The sequence below is a fragment of the Homo sapiens genome, chromosome 13, assembly GCF_000001405.40.
Source record: "Homo sapiens chromosome 13, GRCh38.p14 Primary Assembly".
NCBI lineage: Eukaryota > Metazoa > Chordata > Mammalia > Primates > Hominidae > Homo > Homo sapiens.
In genome coordinates, this window is record NC_000013.11 from 25,003,944 (window position 1) to 25,031,191 (window position 27,248).

General features: G+C 42.9%; 2 pseudogenes, besides 4 other annotated features; both read left to right on the forward strand.

Annotated features, from left to right (window-relative positions):
* Window positions 1,168-1,462: a silencer, noted in NCBI's record as "tiled region #15462; K562 Repressive DNase unmatched - State 13:Ctcf". NCBI's record gives its function as "represses a minimal TATA promoter and a strong SV40 promoter by Sharpr-MPRA in K562 cells {active_cell/tissue: K562}" and the evidence as "EXISTENCE:reporter gene assay evidence [ECO:0000049][PMID:27701403]".
* Window positions 13,459-13,595, forward strand: LSP1P1 (LSP1 pseudogene 1; annotated as a pseudogene).
* Window positions 13,588-13,831, forward strand: LOC100133284 (striatin, calmodulin binding protein pseudogene; annotated as a pseudogene).
* Window positions 14,110-14,621: an enhancer, noted in NCBI's record as "H3K27ac-H3K4me1 hESC enhancer chr13:25592191-25592702 (GRCh37/hg19 assembly coordinates)". NCBI's record gives its function as "activates a minimal SCP1, AML or CMV promoter by ChIP-STARR-seq in naive H9 embryonic stem cells {active_cell/tissue: H9 hESC(naive)}" and the evidence as "EXISTENCE:reporter gene assay evidence [ECO:0000049][PMID:30033119]".
* Window positions 14,110-14,640: a biological region, named in NCBI's record as "H3K27ac-H3K4me1 hESC enhancer GRCh37_chr13:25592191-25592702".
* Window positions 14,581-14,640: a silencer, noted in NCBI's record as "silent region_5182". NCBI's record gives its function as "represses an Ori minimal core promoter by ATAC-STARR-seq in GM12878 lymphoblastoid cells {active_cell/tissue: GM12878}" and the evidence as "EXISTENCE:reporter gene assay evidence [ECO:0000049][PMID:35858748]".

Sequence of the window (27,248 nt, forward strand, 5' to 3'; positions counted from 1 at the left end):
GCGGGAAACATAGTTCCTCAAAGTCTGTGGTGTGGGTTTTAAGTTTTTTCGTGTTCTTAGATCTAAAAGAATCTTAGGCCGGGCACAGTGGCTCATGCCTGTAATCCTAGCACTTTGGGAGGCCGAGGCGGGCGGATCACGAGGTCAGGAGATCGAAAGTATCCTTGCTAACACGGTGAAACCCCGTCTCTACTAAAAATACAAAAAACAAAAACAAAAACAAAAACAAAAATAGCCGGGCGTGGTGATGGGCGCCTGTAGTCCCAGCTACTCAGGAGGCTGAGGCAGGAGAATGGCGTGAACTCGGGAGGCGGAGCTTGCAGTGAGCCGAGATCGCGCCACTGCACTCCAGCCTGGGCCACAGAGCGAGACTCCGTCGCAAAAAAAAAAGAAAAAGAAAAAGAAAAAAAAGAATTTTGAACATCAAATTTTAGAAGCTGCTAGTACAACTGGAAGAGCAGATATAGGTAAACCATTTTCTTCACTAGTTTGACCACATTATTTGATTGCTTCTCTAAAATGGGATTTCTTTTCTTTTCTTAATGGCCTCTCGTTTGTTTACTGAGAGATGCTTACTCTACTGTGTGTCTTACATCTAAACTAGATGGAGCAACACTGAATTCCGGGTCCAGTCAGGTTCTTCTTCCTCCCATGGTCCAGTGTACACAAGGGCTTCCCGCCAAGTGCCCACCTCTGGTTCTCCTCCTGTCCTCACGGTTTTCCTCTTTGGCTATGGTCTCTGCTCAGCACTGGTCTTCTCTTTCCCACACTCTACTGCAGTGTATACACACGCAGCCTTGGTCCCTGTCCTCTCAGTAATTATTTCAGAAGACCTCCCGCGTTTATTCACGGGTAGCAGGCACCTCATCACGTCCTCGAGCTCCTCTTGGCATCCTTAATTAGCCCCCACATTGCAGCCAGAGTGAATTCCATGCACACAGCCATCAGCAAGCACCAGGCCTCTGCCTACCGCGCTTAAATATTTATTGTTATAATAATAAAAAAGGAGGAGGAAGCTTTCGTAAATAAGGATGATGAATTAAAATTCACTGTGATGTAAATTGTTCTGGGTTAAAGGAAAAATCGACAGGATTTTCTCTAAAATGATTGAAAAATCTCTGGATGCTGCAGGTCAGGCCAGTAGACAGCAGGGGGCATGAGAGACATTTCTCCCGTTCTCAGTCCTGTCCCCGAGCTTGTGAAGGCAGCGCACACTTGCTTCCAATGCGATCCTTGCAGCTTTTCCACCCATGATATCTGTATTTGTTTTTTCAAATTTTATGTATTTTTCTATCACGAACTTTGATTTTTTCCCCCTGCACTGTGTAAGAATTTATGCATTAGCTGAAAATAAAACATCTGGGCCAAAAGAATAGTAGTTTTCTGTTCCTCATAACTTGCTCCCAAAACAGTGGCTGAGCACCAGATGGCAGCATCCTTCTGTTTCAGAATATTAGGGTAGCATTAAACATTTTTTAAACACATATACCTCACAACTAAAAACATTGTTTCTGTTTTTTTCTTTAATAATATTGGAAATTTCAAAAGAAGTCTTTTGTTGATTTGTTTGTTGCATTCTGCAAATAGTCACTGATCTTATAACAGTGAATTTTATCCTGCAGGAATTCTGGCCTATTTTGGTTGGGGAAGTGTCAGATGTGGTTTGGGAGGATGACAGTTTATGATGTAATTAATTGAGATACAAATGAAAATATTCAGTTTGCTTCTCCTGTATTCTCTGTCTGGTCTGTCTGCCCTCCATCCAACATGTCCAGGCCATCTGCAAACTCCCAATGGAGTTATCTTCTAGAGTTTGACCTTGGCAGACGATGCTAGCAACAGCTGAATGCTCTTCCCAGCTCCATTCCACAGCCGCTCTCCAGGTGTGGCCTGCCAGTCAGGAGGACTTCTCAGTCCTTCGTGTTTTCAGACTGGTCTGTCTTTGCAGAGTCCCCTCCTCCTGCTTTAAACCCCCTCTCCCTCTTCTTCACCTAGCTTGGGAGTCTCCTCTTCAGGGGGGTTTCTTCACTGCCCCCTCCTCTATGCCCAGGTTGAGCAAGATTCACCAAAGCACTCACTACATCTTATTTAATTAATCATTTATCACATTTGTCTCCATCCTATAGACTAAGTATCTTTTTACTTTTATATTCTGTGTTAGTCTACCACAAAGTAAGTGCTCAATAAATGTTTGCAGGGTAAATAAAGTTATGGGTAATTTGATCCAGCAATCCCACTTCTAGGCATATATACCCCCCAAAAGCTAGTAAGTATATCAAAGATATATATGCATTCCCATGTTTATTACAGCCCTATTTGCCATAGCCAACATGTGGAATCAACGTAAGTATCCATCAATGAATGAATGGATAAAGAAAATGTTATATATATTCACAATGGAATACTAGTCAGCCATGAAAAGAATGAAATCATGTGATTTTCAGCAGCATGCATGGAGCGGGAGATCATTGTGTGAAGTGAAATAAACCAGGCACACACAAACATTGCATGTTCTCACTTGTATTTGGGAGCTAAAGACGTTGATCTCATAGAGAAGAGGTTAGAGTGATGGTTACCAGGGGCTGGGAAGGGTAGGGGGAGAGGAGGGATAAAGCGAGGTTGGTTAATGGGTTCAAACATACAGTTAGAAGAAATAAGATCTAGTGTTTGTCAGTACAGTAGGATGATTGTACTTATCAATATTGCATATTTCAAGATAGCTAGAAGAGAAGATTTGGAATGTTCTTAACACAAAGAAATGACAAATAGGCCGGGCGCGGTGGCTCACGCCTGTAATCCCAGCACTTTGGGAGCCTGGGGTGGGCAGATCACGAGGTCAGGAGTTCGAGATCAGCCAGGCCAACATAGTGAAACCCCGTCTCTACTAAAAATACAAAAATGAGCTGGGTCTGGTGGCATGCACTTGTAGTCCCAGCTACTCAGGAGGCTGAAGCAGGAGAATTGCTTGAACCCGGGAGGCAGAGGTTGCAGTGAGCCAAGATCGCACCACAGCACTCCAGCCTGGGTGACAGAGCAAGACTGTGTCTCAAAAAAACAAAAACAAAACAGAAAAAAAAAACAAAGAAATGATAAAGTTTCGAGGTGATGGATACCCCAGTTGCCCTGATTTGCTCTACACATTGTATGTATGTATCAAAACATCACATGTATCCCATAAATATGTATATTAAGTATCAATAAAAAATACAACTTATGGCAACATTAATGGAATGATCCATGGCTAAACTTTTCTGCAGGCTTAGTGTCCTCAGGCAATGAATGATTGGCAGGTTTTTTTTTTTGTAACATCTTAAGCTGATTTTTTTTTTTTACTATTATACTTTAAGTTCTAGGGTACATGTGCACAACATGCAGGTTTGTTACACAGGTATACATGTGCCATGTTGGCTTACTGCACCCATCGACTCATCATTTACATTAGGTATTCCTCCTAATGCTATCCTGCCCTCCACCTCCCAACAGGCCGTAGTGAGTGATGTTCCCCACCCTGTGTCCTTGTGTTCTCATTGTTCAATTCCCACTTATGAATGAGAACATACAGTGTTTGGTTTTCTGTCCTTGTGATAGTTTACTGAGAATGATGGTTTCCAGCTTCATCCATGTCCCTGCAAAAGACATGAACTCATCCTTTTTTATGGCTGCATAGTATTCCTTGGTGTATACCTGCCACATTTTCTTAATCCAGTCTATCACTGATGGACATTTAGGTTGGTTCCAAGTATTTGCTATTGTGAATAGTGCCGCAATAAACATACATGTGCATGTGTCTTTATAGTATCATGATTTATAATCCTTTGAGTATATACCCAGTAATGCGATGGCTGGGTCAAATGGTATTTCTAGTTCTAGATCCTTGAGGAATCACCACACTTCTTCCAAAATGGTTGAACTAATTTACACTCCCACCAACAGTGTAAAAGCATTCCTCTTTCTTCACATCCTCTCCAGCATCTGTTGTTTCCTGACTTTTTAATGATCACCATTCTAACTGGCGTGAGATGGTATCTCATTGTGGTTTTCATTTGCATTTCTCTGATGATGAGCATTTTTTCATCATCATTTTTTCAGTGATGAGCATTTTTTCATGTGTCTGTTGGCTGCATAAATATCTTCTTTTGAGAGGTGTCTGTTCATATCCTTTGCCCACTTTTTGATTGGGTCATTTGATTTTTTTCTTGTAAATTTGTTTAAGTTATTGGTAGATTCTGGATATTAGCCCTTTGTCAGATGGGTAGATTGCAAAACTTTTCTCCCATTCTGTAGGTTGCCTGTTCACTCTGATGATAGTTTCTTTTGCTGTGCAGAAGCTCTTTAGTTTAATTAGATCCCATTTGTCTATTTTAGCTTTTCTTGCCATTGCTTTTGGTGTTTTAGTCATGAAGTCTTTGCCCATGCCTGTGTCCTGAATCGCATTGCCTAGGTTTTCTTCTAGGGTTTTTATGGTTTTAGGTCTTACATTTAAGTCTTTAATCCATCTTGAGTTAATTTTTGTATAAGGTTTAAGGAAGGGATCCAGTTTCAGCTTCCTCATATGGCTAGCCAGTTTTCCCAGCACCATTTATTAAATAGGGAATCCTTTCCCCATTGCTTGTTTTTGTCAGGTTTGTCAAAGATCAGATGGCTGTAGATGTGTGGTGTTATTTCTGAGGCCTCTGTTCTGTTCCATTGGTCTATATATATGTTTTGGTACCAGTACCATGCTGTTTCAGTTACTGTAGCCTTGTAGTGTAGTTTGAAGTCAGGTAGCATGATGCATCCAGCTTTGTTCTTTTTGCTTAGGATTGTCTTGGCTATGCGGTCTCTTTTTTGGTTCCATATGAACTTTAGAGTAGTTTTTTCCAATTCTGTGAAGAAAGTCACTGGTAGCTTGATGAGGATGGCATTGAATCTATAAATTACCTTGGGCAGTATGGCCATTTTCACAATATTGATTCTTCCTACCCATGAGCATAGAATGTTCTTCCATTTGTTTGTGTCCTCTTTTATTTTGTTGAGCAGTGGTTTGTAGTTCTCCTTGAAGAGGTCCTTCACATCACTTGTAAGCTGGATTCCTAGATATTTTATTCACTTTGTAGCAATTGTGAATGGGAGTTCACTCATGATTTGGCTCTCTGTCTGTTATTGGTGTATAGGAATGCTTGTGATTTTTGCACATTGATTTTGTATCCTGAGACTTTGCTGAAGTTGCTTATCAGCTTAAGGAGATTTCGGGCTGAGACGATGGAGTTTTCTAAATATACAATCATGTCATCTGCAAACAGGGACAATTTGACTTCCTCTTTTCCTAATTGAATACCCTTTATTTCTTTCTTTTGCCTGATTGCCCTGGCCAGAACTTCCAACACTATGTTGAACAGGAGGGGTGAGAGAGGGCATTCTTGTCGTGTTCCGGTTTTCAAAGGGAAAGCTTCCAGGTTTGCCCATTCCGTATGATGTTGGCTGTGGGTTTGTCATAAATACCTCTTATTATTTTGAGATATGTTTCATCAATATCTAGTTTATTGAGAGTTTTTAGCATGAAGGGCTGTTGAATTTTGTCGAAGGCCTTTTCTGCATCTATTGAGATAATCATGTGGTTTTTGTTGTTGGTTCTGTTTATGTGATGGATTACGTTTATTGATTTGCATATGTTGAACCAGCCTTGCATCCTAGGGATGAAGCCAACTTGATCATGGTTTATAAGCTTTTTGATGTGCTGCTGGATTCAGTTTGCCAGTATTTTATTGAGGATTTTCACATGGATGTTCATCAGGGATATTGGTCTAAAATTCTCTCTTTTTCTTGTGTCTCTGCCAGGCTTTGGTATCAGGATGATGCTGGCCTCATAAAATGAGTTAGGGAGGATTCCCTCTTTTTCTGTTGATTGGAATAGTTTCAGAAGGAATGGTACCAGCTCCTCTTTGTACCTCTGGTAGAATTCGGCTGTGAATCCTTCTGGTCCTGGACTTTTTTTGGTTGGTAGGCCATTAATTATTGCCTCAATTTCAGAACCTGTTATTGGTCTATTCAGAGATTCAACTTCTTCCTGGTTTAGTCTTGGGAGGGTGTATGTGTCCGGGAATTTATCCATTTCTTCTAGATTTTCTAGTTTATTTGCATAGAGGTGTTTATAGTATTCTCTGATGGTAGTTTATATTTCTGTGGGATCGGTGCTGATATCCCCTTTATCATTTTTTATTGTATCTATTTGATTCTTCTCTCTTGTCTTCTCTATTTGTCTTGCTAACAGTCTATTTTGTGATCTTTTCAAAAAACCAGCTCCTTGATTCATTGATTTTTTGAAGGGTTTTTCGTGTCTCTATCTCTTTCCGTTCTGCTCTGATCTTAGTTATTTCTTGCCTTCTGCTAGCTTTTGAATTTGTTTGCTCTTGCTTCTCTAGTTCTATTAATTGTGATGTTAGGGTGTCAATTTTAGATCTTTCCTGCTTTCTCTTGTGTGCATTTAGTACTATAAATTTCCCTCTATACCCTGCTTTGAATGTGTCCCAGAGATACTGGTATGTTGCGTCTTTGTTCTCATTGGTTTCGAAGAACATCTTTATTTCTGCCTTCATTTCATTATTTACCCAGCAGTCATTCAGGAGCTGGTTGTGATTGGCAGGTTTTAACTGGACGTTTGAAACTCATTTTTATGGAGAACAACGAACTTGGAGGGGAAAACAATCCAGATGTGAGGAATAATTTGAATCTGTCAGGTCTATTGTAAAAATCACTTTTGATTTCCATGTGGTATTGCATAGAGTGTTCCTGAATGTAACCAGACAGTTCACCCAGGCAAGCGGTCAACAAGGAACACACCTTCCCCAGAGTCTGCAGGCGCTGAATTTCATCTTCTTTTTCATCTAATTCCACAGTCCTTTAAATCCCCATAAGCTAAATTTCTTGATTCCAATTTCAGAAGGAGCTTTGTTACAATTAACTAAATTTTAAATTTTAGGCTATTCGAACAAAAAATTCTAATATAGGAAGTAAAATAATATTGCATTTCCTCATACATTTCTTCCCCTGTGTGTGCCATTTCCCAATTCGGAGGAAAAGAATATTTTAAAACTGTTTTTTTTTCCTGTACATAATACACAATCCCTTCCCCTCTCACACACTCTTTTTTGTCCAGGTTTAAAATAGCAACTCCAGCTGATGGTAGACACTGTTTGGGGATTTTAAACCACTAATCAATTTCGCAGCTGGAGGCAAAGCACTTTGCTTGGAAATATTTTTCACATAACATACAAGGTGCTTCGACCTCAGAGCAGCCCAGAGGATTCCGCTGAAGGAGAGGGGAGGCTGCTGACCCACCCCGGAAACCAGAGGAAAGTGAGGTGGTGGCAGGAGGCCACAGCCACGGGCAGGCCACGGGCAATCACTAGCTACCTTCTCCTAACCTTTTTCTCCCACACACTTTCATTTTTAACAAACTGAGCCACAGAACAAGGAAATTCCAACTTCTGCAGGAACCTCTGGGAGCAGAGAACTAGGAAGGTAAAAGCTACCTGGTTCCACCTTTCTGGACTGAGAGTAAGACCCAAAGTTAAAGCGTAGGAAGAAGGAAACCCTCCTTTGGAATGACACTGTTCTCTCGCCTGGTGGTGCTCAGGCTTCAGCAGGATCAGTATCAGAGAGGGTATGTTAGAGGCTGGACGTGGCGGCTCATGCCTATAATCCCAGCACTTTGAAAGGCAAAGGCGGGCAGATCAGTTGAGCTCAGGGGTTCAAGACCAGCTTGGGCAATATGGCAATACCTCATCTCTCCAAAAAATACAAAAATTAGCTGGGCATGGAGGCATGCCCCTGTAGGTCCCAGCTACTTGGGAGGCTGAGGCGGGAAGATCACTTGAGCCCAGGAGGTGGAGGCTACAGTGAGCTGAGATCACATCACTGCACTCCAACCTGGGCAACAGAGCAGGAGTATGTCTCAAAAAAAAAAAAAAAAAGATTGTGTGTTAGAGCCCAGATAGCTGAGCCTGACTCAAGTTCTGATTCTGCAGGCCAGGGCAAGGCCTGAGAATCTGCCTTTAACAAGTTCCCAGGTGATGCTGATGTTGCTGGTCCTAAAACGACCTTGGGAACCACTGATCTTATCTACCCCATCCATTTGCTTTCTATCACTGGCATCTTTACTTACAGGCTAGTTGGCTTCCTTTGTGCCTTTCTTACAAACACACTGCTTCAGACGGGCGTGGTGGCTTACACCTGTAATCCCAGCGCTTTGGGAGGCCAAGGTGGGCAGATCACGAGGTGAGGACTTCGAGACCAGACTGGCCAACATGGTGAAACCCCGTCTCTACTAAAAATACAAAAATTAGCCAGGCGTGGTGGCGTGTGCCTGTAATCCCAGCTACTCAAGAGGCTGAGGCAGGAGAATTGTTTCAACCTGGGAGGTGGAATTTGCAGTGAGCCGAGATCATGCCATTGCACTCCAACCTGTACGGCAAAGCGAGACTCCATCTCAAAAACAAAACAAAACAAACAAACAAACAAACAAAAAACCACACACACACACACACACACACACTGCTTCATTCCCTAACAGTTTCTCAAATGGCAGTTTAGTTGAATCTGAGGAGGATGGTACACTAAGACCCATGTGGTCACATTATTGCTCTTGCCTAATTTTAGAGTAACTACATCAGGAGAGTAACAGAAAGGACCGTATTGTAAAATCATAATTTTAAGAAGCCGGGTGTTGTGGCTCACTCCTGTAATCCCAGCACTTTGGAAGGCCAAGGCAGGAGAATCGCTTGAGCCCAGGAGTTCCAGACCAGCCTGGGCAACATAACAAGACTCTGTCTCTACAAAAAATAAAAATCAGCTGGGTGTGGTGGCTTGCACCTGTAGTCCCATCTACTTGGGAGGCTGAGGTGGGAAGATTACTTGAATTTAGGAGTTCAAGGTTGCAGTGAGCCATGATTGTGCCACTGCACTCTGCTCAGGGTGACAGAGCGACTCTATCTCAAAAATAAAATAAAATAAAAAAGTAAGAGATTTTTCTTTAAGCTGCAAAATATATTTCACTGATACATGTTTCATTAATTCAATTCAATAAGCTTTTACTGAGTATTTGTGTGTCAGTATGTGATGGGATTATAATACTTCCTGCTATCAGACTCTTTTCCCAGAAAATCATCAAATTATTATTTTTTGAGATGGAGTCTTGCTCTGTCGCCCCGGCACAAGTGCAGTGGCACAATCCTGACTCACTGCAACTTCCACCTCCCAGGTTCAAGTGATTCTACTGAATCACTCCCGGGTAGCTAAGATTACAGATGCGAGCCACCATACCCAGCTGATTTTTGTATTTTCAGGGGTTTCACCATGTTGGCCATGCTTGTCTCAAACTTCTGACCTCAAGTGATCCTCCTGCCTCAGCCTCCCAAAGCGCTGGGATTACAGGCATGAAGCCACCATGCCCAGCCCAAATTATGCACAGGTAACAGTTTTCAAATGGAAGCAGCTTTCTTCATTTTCTACTCAGAAATAAATTGTCTATCATGCCATAGAGTGACTTCTCCATTCTCGCTGGAGCTCATTTCAGATGTAGCTGGGGTTGTTTTGTTTGTTTGTTTTTTAAAGATAGCATCTTGCTCTGTCACCCAGGCTGAAGTGCAGTGGTGTGATCATAGCTTACTACAACCTCGAACTCCTGGGCTCAAGCAATTGCCCCACCTCAGCCTCCTGAGTAGTTGGGACTACAGGCATACAACACTATGCCTGGCTAATTTTTAATTTTTTTGTAGAGACAAGGCTTCACTATGTTGTTCAGGCTGGTCTTGAACTCCTGGGTTCAAGTGATCCTCCCTTCTCAGTCTCTTAAAGTGCTGGGATTACAGGTGTGAGTTGCCTCAGAGCTTAGTGGTTAAGAACACAGCTCTGGAGTGAGATAGACTAGAACTTGGGTGTGCTTTTTAAAAATTATGTTTAAGTTGGAAAAAAACAATTCTTTTTTTTCTTTTATGAGACGGAGTCTTGCTCTGTCACCTAGGCTGGAGTGCAGTGGCGCGATCTCGGCTCACTGCAAGCTCCGCCTCCCGGGTTCATGCCATTCTCCTGTCTCAGCCTCCGGAGTAGCTGGGACTACAGGCGCCCGCCACCACACCCGGCTAATTTTTTGTATTTTTAGTAAAGACAGGGTTTCACCGTGTTAGCCAGGATGGTCTCCATCTCCTGACCTCGTGATCCGCCCACCTCGGCCTCCCGAGGTGCTGGGATTACAGGCCTGAGCCACCGCGCCCGGCCAAGAAGAAACAATTCTTACCTCATAGAGATGCACCAAATCCATACTTTGGCTGAATTCTAAATGGCTAAAAGTGGAAAAGTTACTGAGGACAAAGCCAAATATTACCATCATAACATGGATTTCTGGAATAAAAAAATAAACCTGATATTGTTATTAAAATGTAATAATTAACTGTATCAGTTATTTATTGTCATAATAACACTATGGAACCAGTAACTATAAACCTTCAGTTGTATTTAACAATAAACATCTATTCTTCACCACTCTGTAGGTCAGTTGGGTGGTGCTACTGACCTGGGCCAGACCTGTAGGGTCTCAGCCGGGCTGACTCAGCTCCTGTGGCTGCAGCCACTTGCCAGATGGGTGGAGGGCTGCCTGGTACAGGCTGTTATCAGCTTAGACCACCTGTCTCTGCTTCATGCAGTCTGTCAACTTCCAGTAGAGAATTGAGCTTGCCGTCATGGCATGAGAGGGTTCTAAGGGTGGGAATGGAAGCTTGCAAGGCCTCTTGAGAACTGAGTTCAGGACGGTCACTTCTGCTGCATTCTGTTAGGTAAAGTAAATCACAACGCTGCCCAGATTCTAAGTGTGAGGAAATAGACTCCACCTCTCGGTGGGAGGGGCTCCAAAGTCATATTGCAAGGGCCCTGAATATGTGCAGGGGTAGAGAATTCGAGCCATTCTTGCATTCAACCTGCCACATTAACATGTTTTTATCATTAAAGTTGTTTCAGTTAAATGTTCTAAGTTTGACATGACGGGGAAGATACAATAATTTCTCCACTGTCAGTAAGATTTCTCCTCTGTTAGCTGCCTACCTTACATATAAATAAATAGAGCCCACTTTCACCTGCGATTGTTAGAGAAGCAAGGTGTTTGACTAGCTCATTTTAATATAAATATCCTATGTTTCTCCCTTTTGTCTCCCTTTAGTCTTTATTATATCTGAATCAAAGATGACGTATAACATGCCTTGTTGTAGAATGATTTGGGAATTTTTCTTCCTTGTAATTTTTTTTTTTTTGAGACATAATCTCACGTTGTCACACAGGCTGGAGTGCAGTGGCACAATCACAGCTCACTGTAGCCTCAACCTCCCGGACTCCAGTGATCCTCCTGCTTCAGCCTTCCAAGTAGCTGCGACTACAGGCTCACATCACCACACTTGGGTACATTAAATATTTTTTTGGAGAGACAGGGGTCTTACTATGTTTCCCAAGGCTGGTCTCAAACTCCTGGCCTCAAGCGATCCTCCTGCCTCAGCTTCCCAAAGTCCTGGGATTACAGGCATGAGCTACCATGCCTGGCCTACTAATCTTTTTTGTTCTGCCATGTATTATCATCTAAATTTCCATGTACATTTGTGGACTCAAAAAAGGTTATGTATCCTAAAACATGCTTTCTTTTACATAAGATTAATGACTTCTGTACTCACCACAGTCTTGCAATAAGAAGTATGAATTCATACTTTGACTGACTGATAGAATTCCAATCTCTAAACACTTAAAGGAGGTTTTTCACTTCAAGTTTCAGGTAGAATGTTTACCTATATTTAAAAGTGAATACTGTATTTTAATATTAACAACAAATTAAAATATCACACCACATTTGTATCACTGATGTTCTTATAATGATTAGATACACTGGTTCTTATAATGATTAGATACACCCCTGAACTTGCATCAGATCAATGGTCATCTACTTGCATAGGTTACCAGTGTATCTGACCAGTATGGTGAAACCCTGTCTCTACTAAAAATACAAAAATTAGCCAGGCGTGGTGGCAGGTGCCTATAATCCCAGCTACTCGGGATGCTAAGGCTGGAGAATTGCTTGAACCTGAGAGGTGGAGGTTGCAGTGAGCCAAGATCGTGCCACTGCACTCCAGCCTGGGCGACAGAGTGAGACTCCATCTCAAAAAAAAAAAAAAAACCAAAGAAATTACTTTTCTGTAAGTCAACTCCACTTCCTCTGGTCTGTCTTCTCTGTACTCAGGGACCTCCTAAAATTTTCCTTCATATTGTTAAAGATAGTTTCAAAGCAACCTCCCTTTTTCTTTCTTTGTGCATAATAATAATAATCTAAACTTTTCTACATTTTTCTGCTTTCCATTTTTCTAATATTTTCTTCTGGGCCTCATGTCTCCAAAATAAATCATTCCACTCCAAGGAATAAAGTAACTAAAAATACATATACCTAATAAAACCAAACCGCTGTGCACCAAAAAGGAAATTAGTAATAGAAATTAAGAATGCCGGCTGGGCGTGGTGGCTCACGCCTGGAATCCCATCACTTTGGGAGGCCGAGGCGGGCGGATCACGAGGTCAGGAGATCGAGACCATGCTGGCTAACATGGTGAAACCCCGTCTCTACTGAAAATACAAAAAATTAGCCCGGCGAGGTGGCGGGTGCCTGTAGTCCCAGCTACTACTCGGGAGGCTGAGGCAGGAACCCCGGGGGGCAGAGCCTGCAGTGAGCCGAGATCCCGCCACTGCACTCCAACCTGGGCGACAGCGAGACTCCGTCTCAGAAAAAAAAAAAAAAAAGAAAAAGAAATTAAGAATGCCGGCCAGGCGCGGTGGCTCACATCTGTAATCCCAGCACTTTGGGAGGCCGAGACAGGTGGATCACCTGAGGTCAGGAGTTCGAGACCAGCCTGACCAACATGGTGAAACCCTGTCTCTACTAAATACAAAAAAAAAAAAAAATTAGCTGGGTATGGTAGTGCATGCCTATAATTCCAGCTACTTGGGAGATTGAGGCAGGAGACTTGCTTGAACCCGAGAGGTGGAGGTTGCAGTGAACAGAGATTGTGCCATTGCACTCCAGCCTGGGCAACAAGAGCGAAACTGCGTCTCAAAAAAAAAAAAAGAATGCCAGTGCTTTGTGGACTTTTTTTTCTGATAACACGTCTCTTCTTATTTATGTAGCATTAGAAAACAGTTCATTGAAAATAAAAACTGGAAAAGATTTTGTGTTAAAATACTCGGATAACATTCTGCATAGGCTGGAAATCTCCTTTTAACTTAGGAAATTTTAGAAAATTGGACGAATTGAAGCCTTTTTTTAAAGCTTACTTAATAATGTACTTATTAGAAGAAACACTATAATGATGTCAAAAAATTTAGCACACGGCGCGGGCGCAGGCGCGGAGAGGCGCACAGGAGACCTCAGGCCCAGGCTCCACTCCCCAGCTGTGAAAGGACCGCTGGCCGGACCCCCAAGCTAGCCCGCCAGGCCTCCATAGAGCTGCCCAGCATGGCCGTGGCCAGTACCAAGAGTCGGTGGGAGACGGGTGAGGTACAGGCTCAGTCTGCGACCAAGACTCCGTCCTGCAAGGCCCAGATTGCCTTCCTACAGGGAGAAAGGAAGGACCAAGAAAATTTGAAGAAGGATCTTGTGAGGAAGATCAAAATGTTGGAGTATGCTCTTAAACAGAAAAGAGCCAAATACCACAAGTTGAAATATGGGAGAGAATTGAATCAGGGAGATATGAAGCCTCCAAGCTATGACTCTGATTCCACATTAACAAAACAGCCAGTTAATGTGAAAACAAGGTCGACAACTACTCAGACAAAGGTAGTTCAGTTTCTCCAGATTACCACAGAAGACAGCTCTGTGGATCCTCCTCAGATGAGATGATTTAATATGGTACTGGGGAAATGAGAAGCCATCCGATCACAAGTGCTCCCTGAGGGTGGGCCACCACTCGTCGGCTGCAAATTGTAGCCTGGGAACGCTCCAGCCGTATTTCAGCTCGCCTTCGGGGATCGCCGCCTCCGAAGGGCAACAACAAGCAATTCAGTCAGTCCGTGGACCTTGGCACAGACTCTCAGCGCCTCCCGCCTCTCAGCAGAAACGCCCAACAGAACCGTTAGAACCAGCGAGCACGCGCACCTTAGCCGGCCCCGCCCAACAGGCCCGAGGCAGAGAAACCGCCTTAGCAGCTCTCGCGGCGCCCAGTACAGGCGGCGGTTGCTGCGCAGGTGCCGCGGGCTGGCAGGGCTCCCTGGAGCCGCAAGGCGCGCCCTGCCCCAGGGCCTGTTTGACTGTGGCCCGCGCCCTCTTCTCCTCTTCCAACGGCTCCCGATGCTCAGAGACCCCCGCGCTGGGCCCTCTGCAGCCCAGGGATGGGGTTGAGTGGTGCTTCTCCACCTGGTGCCGCCGCTGGGCCCACAGCCCGACTTCGCCACTGCGTCGCCCCCGGGGTCCGCGCTGATGGGCGCGAGGCGGAAGGACGGGATCCGGGGTTGCCACCGCTGCAGTCAGCCCACCGCTTGCAGGTGGCAGCTGCAGCTCGGGCTCCGGCGGGGGCTGGCGGGGCTCCCCTGGGATGGCCTCCTGGGCCCAGAGTGCGCCGCCCATCCGGCCAGAGGGTGCGCGCCTCCTACACCCTGGGCCGAAGCCCATGCCCGGCGCTCCTGCCGCAGACTGCCTGACTTGCCGCGGCCGGGCTGGCCCAGGGGTCCGCGCGGCTGGAGGCGCCCGCCTGGTCGGGGATTCCCAATCCTCGGCGACCCCTGCTCCATGTGCTGGTGGCGGCTGCAGCTGCAGCGCCCATGGGCTGATGTGGCTTACCGGAGCTGCGGCCGGCCACGCCCAAGGGCCTCACAGGCTGCGCTGCCCTTGCCAGCTGCTCCTGACCCGCGCCCAGAGAGCAGGACCTGGCGCTTGGCACTGTGCAGCCACGGGGATGAGGCTGAGCGCCGGTTATCGGCCTCGTGGCGCCACTGGGGCCACAGCCTGACTTCACCTCCCCGTCGCCCAAGTCGTGTGATGGGCACATGTGAGGAGGGGCAATCGGGGTTCCCAAGGCTGCTGCCTGCATGCCACTCCGTGGCCACTAGGATAGGGCTGAGGAGCCGCCAGGGGATGAGCACGTTGTGGCCATCGGGATGGGGCTGAGAGTCTATCTTTATCCTTATGCACCTGCCCAGCCGACTTCCTGACAGCCACTACCGCAGCGTCCTGTCAGGGAGTCCTTGCTGTTGGGGCGGGGATGGGGAGGGCATGGAGAATCAGGGATGGTCTGGCCATTGCTGCTGGTGCCTGACGTGCAGGTGGCAGCTGCACCTAGGGCACGGGCTGGTAGGTCTTCTCTTTTGGATGGTTTCCAGGTGCCCCATTGCGCAGTGACCAAGCCAGAGGGTCCACTCCACCTTAGCCCACACTAGGAGTCCAGGGGCTACAGGCATGGGTACTGCGTGGCCAACCAGAAGGGGCTCAGCAACCAGTTCAGCTTTCCTGCCTTTGCAGGGCTTTTTAAAAATTTTTTTGTATTTAACATTTTCTAAAAATACATACAAACAAAAAGATGCATATCAAACATATTAGGAAGATTGCACATGGGAAGACGGGGAATAGAAATGGGGGGTGAGAATGAAAGAAAATAAATGAGAGAGGGACTTTGTATGGATCAATGATAATAACTCAATCCTCTATGTCTTTGACAAGAAGGAGAAGGAAGAGGAAGAAAAAGAAAGTGGGATAAAGGATGGGAAAGGGAGGAAAACAGAAAAAATTAGAGTATGACTCCAGGGTAGACCTGTTTTGTTGTTGCTGGGTTGGTTGGTTGGTTTGTTGTATTTTTCATATGTTTCACCATGTTGGCCAGGCTGGTCTTGAACCCCTAGCCTCAAGTGATCAACCCGCCTCGGCCTCCGAGAGTGCTGGGATTACAGGCGTGAGCCACCACGTCCAGCCCCAACACTGCGTCTGGCCCCCGTGGTAGACCTCCCAGACGGGGTGGCCGGGCAGAGGTGCTCCCCACATCCCAGACGGGGCAGCCGGGCAGAGGCGCTCCTCACTTCCCAGACGGGGCGGCCGGGCAGAGGCGCTCCTCACATCCCAGATCCACAAAAGAAGTGAAAATAGCCTTAACTGATGACATTCCACCATTGTGATTTATTTCTGCCCCACCCTAACTGATGTACTTTGTAATCTCACCCACCCTTAAGAAAGTTCTTTGTAATCTCCCTCACCCTTGAGAAGGTTCTTTGTAATTTGTAATTCTCCCCACCCTTGAGAATGTACTTTGTGAGATCCACCTCCTGCCCGCAAAACATTGCTCCTAACTCCACCGCCTATCCCAAAACCTATAAGAACTAATGATAATCCCATCACCCTTTGCTGACTCTCTTTTCGGACTTGGCCCGCCTGCACCCAGGTGAAATAAACAGCCTTGTTGCTCAAAAAAAAAAAAAAAAATTTAGCACAATGCCTGGCACATACCAGATGCTCAATAAATAGTGGCTATTAGCTGATTGAACTTCATCTGTTCAAGTACATTTTCTAAAGTAAAAACATTAAAAAACAAAAAACCCTTCCTTCTAATTCGGTAATGAAGGTAGTTAGTTGGAGACTCTCCCGATAACTGTTATATAAGAATTAGCAATATGAAGCCAGAAGTGTACTGAATGCTGTAAAGCTGCGAAATGGTCTGAAATACTCAACGAGTCTTAAGGTGTTATTGGGACGGTAACATTTTCAGAATATGGAACTTGCTAAATAAACATTTTCCTGCTCATTTGGATACTACGCAATGCAGAACATTCTCTGTTTATTCTTTCATCGGAGACATTTTGAGGAAAGACAGAGGTGGGGTACTACTCAAGGACTCTTTAAACAAACATGAAGTTTAATTCAATTGTTTCCTGAGAGGTTGACTTCTTCCAAGAGCCAAAGAAAATGTTTTACTAATCCAAAAGGTACAAAAATAAGGTTGAAGCCATAGAATGCAGGAGGGTTTGAAAAAGTTAATGTATTTTGGGATAATTATGACCACTGTGAGGCTGTGCTGTGAAGGCCATCATTCTGCTTCTGTTAAAATAAGCAGCACAATCATTCTTTTTTCTTTTTATGTTTTTACTGGGAGACTGGTAAGGCTGCTTTGATAAAGTGAGTTCTTATTTATACCAAATCTAAACACCCAAGATAAATGGGACATGAAAGGTGAGGAGGAGACTGAGTGGCCACAATGTCACTCATGTAGACATTGAACTCACCCAGGGGGCAGGTGTGAGCAGAGGTGGACGGTGCATTCTGAGCTGTGTGTCAATGTCTTACGTGGCCAAGACAGAGTGACCAGAGGTCACTGTGCAGTGGCAAAGGTGGGGTCAGGTGCATGTTTGAGGCATGGGCTTCAAAAAAAGCAGTGTCATAGCTTTTGTCCTCTGTCACATGAGGTCATTTACAAGAAGAGGTCTAAGATGATGGTCATGTATGTATCCATTCGCCCATTCAATAGCTCACTCTAACACTATGCCTGTGATTGAATGGCTTTCAAAAAGCATGTTGTTGGATATACTGAATGACAAGTATCTACCAAACTCTATGCTGGGCTTGCAGGCACGGGGTAGATGAAAAAGTCTCTCTTCTCAGGGTACCCAGAGTCAGAAGCATTGACAAATTCGAGTGGAAGAGAAATGTCACACTAGCTCTGCATTCCATAGAGAGGGGACAGAGTGACACACTCTGGGGGAAAGAGTAGAGGAGCTGGTGGTGGTGGTGTCTGAAAGCACTCTGGGCTTGGGGAAACACGAGAATGGCCTCAGTGGCCTGAGGCGTGGTCAGAGGGGTGAGTGTGTTGGTCTTTGAGTCTCCCCATCCCTCCCGGTTGGACTGACTAGACTGCAGGAGCTTCATGAATTCGCCAGTTCCCGGAGTCTTCTTGGAAGAGGACGGCTGCAAGCCTCGTCCGGCTCCCTGAGGAGGGAAGAGCATCCAGTGCTCCTGTGACCCCTCACCGTGGGCACTGGCCGTACCCTCTGATGGAAACAGGTTTCTTACCTGCTGCCACTCTGCAGTCCTTACTCACCAGGCACGGATGTAGGACCCATCCAGCCCCATCTTCCCCATACACAGTTGCACAGTGTTGTAAAATCAAACTCACTGGCCATCCCAGGTGGGAATTGGGCCCTACCGGAACCTTTGTTTCTGATGTCCTCAGAAATGGCTCAACTAAATATTTTTCTTTTTCTAAGTGTAGGGAGTAAACAGAGAAAATTACTATCATTTCTTCTTCTGTTAATTGTCCTTATGTCAGGCCAGGAGTATATGGGTAGACAGTTCCCTGTGGCTGTTGGCTCAGTCTTCCAAACTACAGCATTTGCACTTTTATTCAAAATCCCATCTGTCTGGTTTTCGATGGTTCTGTCTGTAGCATTTTCTCCACACTGGTCTATAAATGCAGATATGTGTGTGCGCTTCTATGTATGGATGCTTACATGTACATGCATAGGTAGAGAGGAGAGTGCCTAGGCCAGATCACTCAGAGAAAGTGTTAAATTACACCATTTTGTTGTTTCAGTTACAGAAATCTTAAACTAAGCACAGCTTCTCTGACACCAGTATCAATTTCATTACTGAGCCATGAGATAACAGCGGTTTACAAGAGAAGATGGTGAAAAGATTGAGAATTCAAATGATGAATGGGATGCACACAGAAAAGACATCACTGTGCGCGTCTTCATGAGGAAACTGAATTGAGACTACTGTGCCACAAATCAAGTAATGTGTAATTTTTCTTTGAAAGCATGTAGAGGCTTTAAAGATAACAACTAGCTTTTGAGAAAACCTAGGATTAAAAAAATAATAGAATAAGATTAGAATCTTCATCATGTATTCAGTACTTTACATGCTATATTAATAGTGAACTAATACAGATTGAATTGCATATAATGCATTTCAAACAATTTGGGATTGAAGCAGAATATTAATATGACTACAGAAATTCAGTCCATTTTTTTACTAATGCAAAATATTTGAAAAAATATTTACATTATATATCAGCCATTATCCATTCATTACATTAATGATTTTTAGTAATACCTTCTTTTTAGTTATGTATTTAATTTAACTTATAAATTTAACACAATATTAGAGACATGCAAAAACATATTAGAAAAAACACAATATACATTGGCAAATACAGAACCCATTAACCAAAAACCAGTACAGGAGAAGCCCCTTCTCAGCCACACTCCCCTTTTTCCCATGGCATCATTTTGTATGCTTGCTGTACATATATATATATATATATATATATATATATATATATATATATATACACACACACACACATACATATATATATATACACACATACATATATATATATATACACATATATATATGCACATAAACAGTACTTATTATTTATTCATTTATTTATTTTTGAGATGGAGTCTCGCTCTGTCACCCAGGCTGGAGTGCAGTGGCATAATCTCGCCTCACTGCAACCTCCACCTCCTGGGTTCAAGCAATTCTCTTGCCTCAGTCACCGGAGTAGCTGGGATTACAGGGGCTCACCACCACGCCCAGCTAATTTTTGTATTTTTAGTAGAGATGGGGTTTCACCATGTTGGCCAGGCTGGTCTTGAACTCCTGCCCTCAGGTGATCTGCCCACCTCGGCCTCCCAAAGTGCTGAGACTACAGGTGTGAGCCACCGCGCCAGCCAATAGTACTTATTACTATGATATTTTTAATATAGAAGTTGACTTTTGTCTGTTACATAGTTCCTGGTGGGCACTCCTGGGCTCTCGTCTGTCCTCAAGGTCTTTCAGGGACCTGGATTCCTCCCTAGGGCAGTACGTCTCTGTCTTTGGTAAAACACTGCTTTTAAAAATCTTCAAAGTATCATGAACCCCTATTTTGTAAATTTCATAAAGACAGATGCATTATTAGAAAGATGAAATTAAAAAGCAGATACACAATTTTGCTCTGCAGTCATCAGTCAATAAAGAGTCAGCAGTGAAATCCCGGTTCTTGTACCAACGCCTATCTGCGCACTTTGAACAGATACCATTTACAGCAGTGTTTACAGTTAACGTGGCAACTGTTTCCTTCTTGTTAAATTTCTCTCATCTACGTTGGATGGACCACAGTATATTCATTTGTTCTCCGGCTTTGGAGTTCTCTAGGAAAATCAAGAGGTTTTCTTAGCTCCATGGCCATCCAGGGGTGAGGGGCTCCTCACAGGGGCACAGACGGGACTCAGGGAAGATGGCGCCGCCCCCCACCTCCCACCCCCGTGAAGGTGTTCCTTCCCTTGGGAGTTCCATCAGGTGTCCTGGAGCTGGCTGTGAGCAACAGACCCTGCCCCAAGAAGACCTGGGAATGGTCAGCACAGTGCATCAATTAAATCAATTCCGAGACTGCTCCATACACACAGGGCTGAAAGGTTACTTTCCATATGATTTATCTTCCCAAATTATGTTCAGTCGCAGTATCCGTGAAAGCTGTGGGAGAGTCTACAGCGATAGTAGGCTACTAGTAAGACACAAAAGGATACTCAGATAACAAAATGCCAACCACCCGAGACCCCCACATTAAACCACACACTTTTCCCATTATCAGATTTGCAGCAAAAGCTTTAAGTGCACCTATTGACTTTAGCTGTTCTATTATCATCACAATCCACTGTCTTTGAGAATAAATCAAATGAATTAATTGATACGCATTTGAAAATGAATCTACATTCCCTTTTACATGGCTACTTTTTCATGACATATAGGATATCTTCGCCACATTGCTTTCCATTTTAAAAGATCTAAGAGTTCCTCAAAGTAAGTACTTTTCTGAGAGTCCTTAATTTGGAAGAACTCTGCTTTCTCTGAGTCGCTAGGAGAGAAGTTAACAGATGCTGGAAGATGACATCAGCATTTAATTGCAAATAAATTCTGTTCTCTGGCAGCCTGGCTATTGTGCTCACATTTCAAAATTGTTTTAGTTCTTACATTTTTACCATGTTTACTAAATCTGGATGGATTATGGCTAGGTGTGCTGGTTCACGCCTGTAATCCCAGCACTTTGGGAGGCTGAGGCAGGCGGATCATTTGAGATCAGGAGTTCGAGACCAGCCTGACCAACATGCTGAAACCCCTTCTCTACTAAAAATACAAAAAATTAGCCCGGCATGGTAGTGCACTCCTGTAATATCAGTTACTTGGGAGGATGAGGCAGGAGAATCACTTGAACCTGGGAGGTGGAGATTGCAGTGAGCCGAGATTGCACTACTGCACTCCAGCCTGGGCAACACAGCAAGACTCCATCTCGAAAAAAAAAAAAAACCTGGATGGATTATGAAGCCGTATTCCTAAAAGATACTCATATGTTTAGAGGTGAGAATCGGGGATCTTCAATGGACTAGAGGATTGCCTTTCTTCTTAGACCACAGAAGCAGCTCAGGAATATGGTCACCTGGTGTCTAGCAGGGTAAGCCCAGGACAGGAGCTCATATTTAAGTGCGAGAAATGGAGTGTATGCAGGGAGAAAATGGAAACTAGAATTTTAAGGATGCTTTGGGGAATATGGAATCCTTGGTGAAAAGGTGCCACTATACAGCTTTCCTGGCTGGTAAAAGGAATGAACAACATGGTTCTTATTTGTGTAAACTCAGTCTTAGAAAATTTCAATTCATTACACACAAAAATATTTATGAAACAGTTTGGGGCCAAAGGGGTAGTATGGTAGACGAGTGTCTTACAGAGCCTGTGTGGGGAAGCAAAAGGCAAGGGTGTCGTTCACAGGCAGAAGCGAGCTGTGACATTGTCAGTGCAGCGTGTAAGTGTGGCTCCTCACAGGCGGCCATTGATTGTGAGACCTCATCTTACTCTGAAGATTTCCCGGTGGCTGTCATGCATTGCTTCTCAAAAGCCTTGTACTGTGATAAGGTTTAAGGAGACAGATTGTTGCAACAATAGCCTCTTCTAAGGAATGTTATTATGTCACTGCAGATGATGTTTTTAAGAGGTGATTCAGAATGATAGTTTCGTGATTACGGAAAGGAGTTCCTTCTCAAACTGCAAAAGGAAAGATGAAAATAGTCATGAAGCCTCCAGAACTGAAATTGGGCACCCTTTATGATGGATATTTACTTTAATTCAATGCAACACATATTTATGGGGCATAGACTGTATCAAATACTTAATAAAACCCATTCAGTTTGGAGCTCACACCTAAGCTGTGCTGTAATTGGATTTTCTTAATATTCATTAAAAACAGAAAAAAATGTATTTCACCTTTTTTTGGTATTTGCATTTGTTGCTTATAGTTTGTGGGGTGGAGCAGAGGGGTGTGAGGTTGAAGAAAGGCACTATGAATTAAGCCACACAAATGCCTCTAAAAAAAATAGTAAATATAACAATGGTTAACATTCATTGAATACTTACTATGTATCAGGCGCTGCTAGGAGATTTAGAAATAATTACTTAGTCCTCTTAACAGCCATATGGGGTAGGTAATATTATCTCCCCAGTAAGACAGCTTTAATTCATCCTTTTTGTTTCTATCCCTTTCCATCTCTGTCTGTCTGTCTCTCTCTCTCTCTTTTCCCCTAGTCTCTAGGACAGGGATATAAACTCTTTAGTGATTTTCAGTAATAGAAGAGCTAAGTACCGTTTAGTGTCATTGTCAGCTCACTTCTAATAGAAAGAGCTAACCCATGTCCACGCAGCTGAAAATTAGTTTTGTGTCTGAGATGATGGTGCTCACAATCATATACAGGGAACCCTGCCACTGTGCTATGCTGAGTAGGCAAACATTGGCCTTCCCTTGGAGGGATCCTCTTCTCTTAGGATTAATGTGGGAAGTACAGACAGAAATCTCTTCTGTTGTCATGGCGATACTACTTCCCTGATAGGATTTCAGCCATTCCAAGCGTGTTTGTTTCATTTGTTTTTTTTTCCTACCTTAAGCCCAGTCTAGGTGAGTTCTGGGTGCTGTGTGTGTGTGTGTGTGTGTGTGTTTTAATTGCAGTAAGAATATTGAATATGAGATCTACCCTCTTTGATTTTTTTTTTTTTTTGAGATGGAGTCTCACTCTGTCACCCAGGCTGGAGTGCCCTGGCATGGTATTGACTCACTGCAACCTCCACCTCCTGGGTTCAAGTGATTCTCCTGCCTCAGCCTCTCAAGTAGCTGGAACTACAGGTGTGCACCACCAAGACCAGCTAATTTTTGTATTTTTAGTAGAGACAGGGTTTTACCATGTTGGCCAGGCTGGTCTCAAACTCCTGACCTCAAGTGATCTGCCCACCGCCACCTACAAAGCATTGGGATTACAGGCATGAGCCACCACACTTGGCCTACGTTATTTAATTTTTAAGTACACAATACAGTATTGTTAACTATAGCCACAGTGTTGTACAGCAAATCTCTCTCACCTATGCATCCTGCGTAACTGAAACTCTGTGCCCATTGAACAGCAGCTCCTCATTTCCTCCCCCATCAGCCCCTGGCAGCCATCATTCTACTCTCTGCTTCTGTGAGTCTGGCTATTTTAGATCCCTTATAGAAGTGGAAACGCGCAGTATTTGTCCTTCTGTGACTGGCTTATTTCATTGAGCATAACGACCCCCAAGTTTAGCCATGTTGTTGCTTATGGCAGGATTTCCTTCTTTTTTCAGGCTGAATAATATTTCCTTATATGTATATGCTGCATTTTTAAAAACCCTTTCATCCACTGACAGACGTTTAGATTATTTCCACACCTTGGCTATTATGAGTAATGCTACAACGAACAAAGTGAAAATATCTCTTTAAGATCCTGATTTCAGTTTTTTTCAATAAATACCCAGAAGTGGAATGACTGGGTCATTCATATGGTAATTCTAATTAAACACAGAATTATTTTTAATTTTTTGAGAAACTTCTGTGCTGCTTTCCACAGTGGTTGCATCTGTTTACGTACTTACCAATGGTGCACAAGGGTTCCAATTTCTCCACATCTTTGCCAACTTGTTATCTGTGTTTGTTTAAATGACAGCTGTATGAGTTGTCCCTTGCCTCCATGCAATTCTGAACTTCAGAAATAAGCACCTGGCTCCTTTAAAAGCTGTCCATCGTATGTTGTGTCTACAGCCACTGAATCCTGTCCTACATTTTCTGATTCATTAACTCATTCAACCAATAGCTATTGAACACCATCAATAAGTCAGCCACCATGAAGATGAGTATTTTATATTGAATTCTACTAACATATCCTGTATGTTTACTATGGTGCCAGAGAGGATGCTGTGTGCTTTTTTTACATTGTTATCTTTACTGTTCACAAGAACCATGTAAGGTAGGTGTTGGTAAAATGGGTAATTTTGGAAATTCTTCAGTGATTGAATAGAATAACTTCCCGCTCTCTGTGAGAAGATATGTTTTAAATAAGATACAACCCAGGGTCTTGGTTACTTGAGACATATTATACTTTCTCAGATACCGTCAGACCTGAATCATTTAATAAACTAAAGCAGAAATACTAAAAATATCTGGTTCAATAGCATAGGGGCATGGAGTAGACATGCAGAAAATGCTTGTTCACTTGCCTTGAAATGGCTCCAGGTGGCCTGAAGGAATCAATGAACCTTCTCAAATATCTACATTACAACCACTGGTCCCCACTACACATTTATTTCTAAATAAAGGAGGAGAAACTGTAGCAAAATAATATTTAATATTTTTATAGCTTCCAGGATGAATTTTACTGAACATGGAGGATCTGATAGTGGTAGGTGTATCAGGAATATCAGGGAAAATGCTTTTGATGTTGTTGGCAAAGTCAATTCCTATCATTTGTACTTGACACCAGCTACCTAGCAGGCTCATTGTGAACTTCAGGTTTCGCCCACGTTATTTATATAAAGTATCTCAGTGTAATATAGGGAGTTGCTGGTTATTTGAAAATAGTAACAAAGATAACCCAAACGAGAAACTCCATTTCCATAATTAGTTTTCCTGAAAGTCAGGCATGTCTTCGAGGACAGGTTTTGGCAGTATTATTTTTGTGCACAGGAGGAAATTTGTTAGTAGGTTTATAGATATTATTTTTATAATAGAATGTTAAACCCCTGAAAACATCAGAATTTATCTCCTAGAACTAATTCTATGTTTTAAAAACTTGTTTTAAAAAGGGATTCTAAATAGCAATAGGGTCTTTCCTCCTTTCTCCACTCCAATGGTTTAATGGGATAGAGGAATCAATGTTTATATTTTTAAACCTGTAAATATTTTATTTTGGGTATTTTGTATATTTGTTGATATAATTCCATTTTGTGCATATGTACCATTGTGCATGTTGCTGTTTTTGATAGTCACTCTTTTAATGAATGTAAGAAGCTTGGGCTAATAGCACTTTTCTTGTTCCATTCAAACATCTGAAAATGAAACTACAACACTGCCATTTTACTGTTGTGTTTAATTCAGTCAATAAATTTTGTTGCTCCTTTGCATTTAAAGTGAATTCTGTTGGTTGTTATTTCTCCAGGATCAATTTTATTTCCGGTCTTTTCAATTTTTATAAATTATACTAATGATGGTGATGATGAGAAGGTGATGTGTGTGTGACTGTCTCGTGGAAAGACCAATGGGAGGCCCATATTTCTCTCCACACTTTGTAAACAAGTGAAAAATTCCTTGTTTGGTTTGGGCAGCTGTCTTTTGAAAAGCTCTTTTGTTATTCTGACTCTGATCTGAATTCTGAGGCTTTTACTCAGAAAATCTCCATTCCTTATCATCTCTCATGAGGCCGGCTAATCCGTGCTGACTGTCGGGTAGCGGCAACATTAGGGCCACTGGAGTCTTTCTAAAGAGTTGCTTTCTGGTTTTTGTTTATTTTGTTTTTGGTGGTATGTTTTCATTTTCTATGTGTAACAGGTAGGGAAGCCTCTCAAGGAAAGGAGGCCAGAAACCATCAGATGTAGCTACTGATCCCTGGAGGCCGACAGCTTTCCATTCCGCGGTCCAAGAATGGGCTGAGAACCACAAGGGGAGGTGGACGCATCCACAGCAAGGGGGGAAGGACTGTTTCCTAGATATTTTTTGGTAACTGATACATCAAGCAGGCAGAAAATCAGTCAGAATAAAGATTTGAGCAACACATTTGGCCACATATTATAACAACTAGAGAATCCATGTTCTTTTCAAAAGCAAATGAAACATTTGTGAATGTTGATTACATCCTAGACCATGAAGTAAGTCATGACACATTTCAAAAAATAGTTCCTCACAGAATGTGTTCTCTTACCACAACACAACTACACTAGAAATTAGTAATAAAAAGATAATTAAAATCACTCCATACATTTGGACTTTTGAAAAAATACACCTTTTAATAGCTCATGGATCAGAGAATAAATGAGTAAGGATATTAGAAAGCAATTAGATGTGCATAATTATGAAAAGGATCTATATTAAGACATGAAATATAACCCAATCTGTACTTAGGAAAAATTTTATAGCTTCAAATGATTAGATTATAAAAGATAAGGAGCTGAAGATCAATAAGCTGAGAATCCATTTTAATTAAATGTAAGAAGTTAAGAAAAGAATAACAGGATAAATATGTAGAAAGTTTAATTAAGAATTAATATGAATAAGAGCAGAAAGCAATAAAGCGGAAAACAAAGATACCCTAAAGTAGATCAACAAAGATGAATCATTTTTTTGAAAAACATCCAACAATATTTTTAAAGAAAATAATAGAAAGATACAAATATGGTTCAAAATTAGATGGGCACAACAACAGTTACAGTAGAGATTAAAAATGTAATGAAAGAATGTTACAAATATTATGGCAATAATTTTTTTTTTGAGACAGGGTCTAGCTCTGTTGCCCATTCTGGAGTGCAGTGGCATGATCATGGCTTACTACAGCCTTTACCCTTTGGGGTCAAGCAATCCTCTCCACCTCAGTCTCCCGAGTAGCTGGGACTACAGGTCCACGCCACCATGCTGGATCTTACAAACAAAAATGAAGGTGCCTTTTTCTATTGCTAAATGCGCTGGTCTGAAATGCAATGAAAGGACAAGGGTGACACTCAAGGGAAGATTAAAGAAAGACTCCTAACTATTCCAGAGGCAAACTCTATGTGGCTGAGTTAGAGTCATAGAAAGATCCTCTTGACAAAATGCGAAAAAAGAACAAACAAACAAAAGGCCTAAAGGTTGTGTGGACCATGTCTATTCCTTTAGCAAATTGAGAACAAGACAAGATTTCTGGCATTG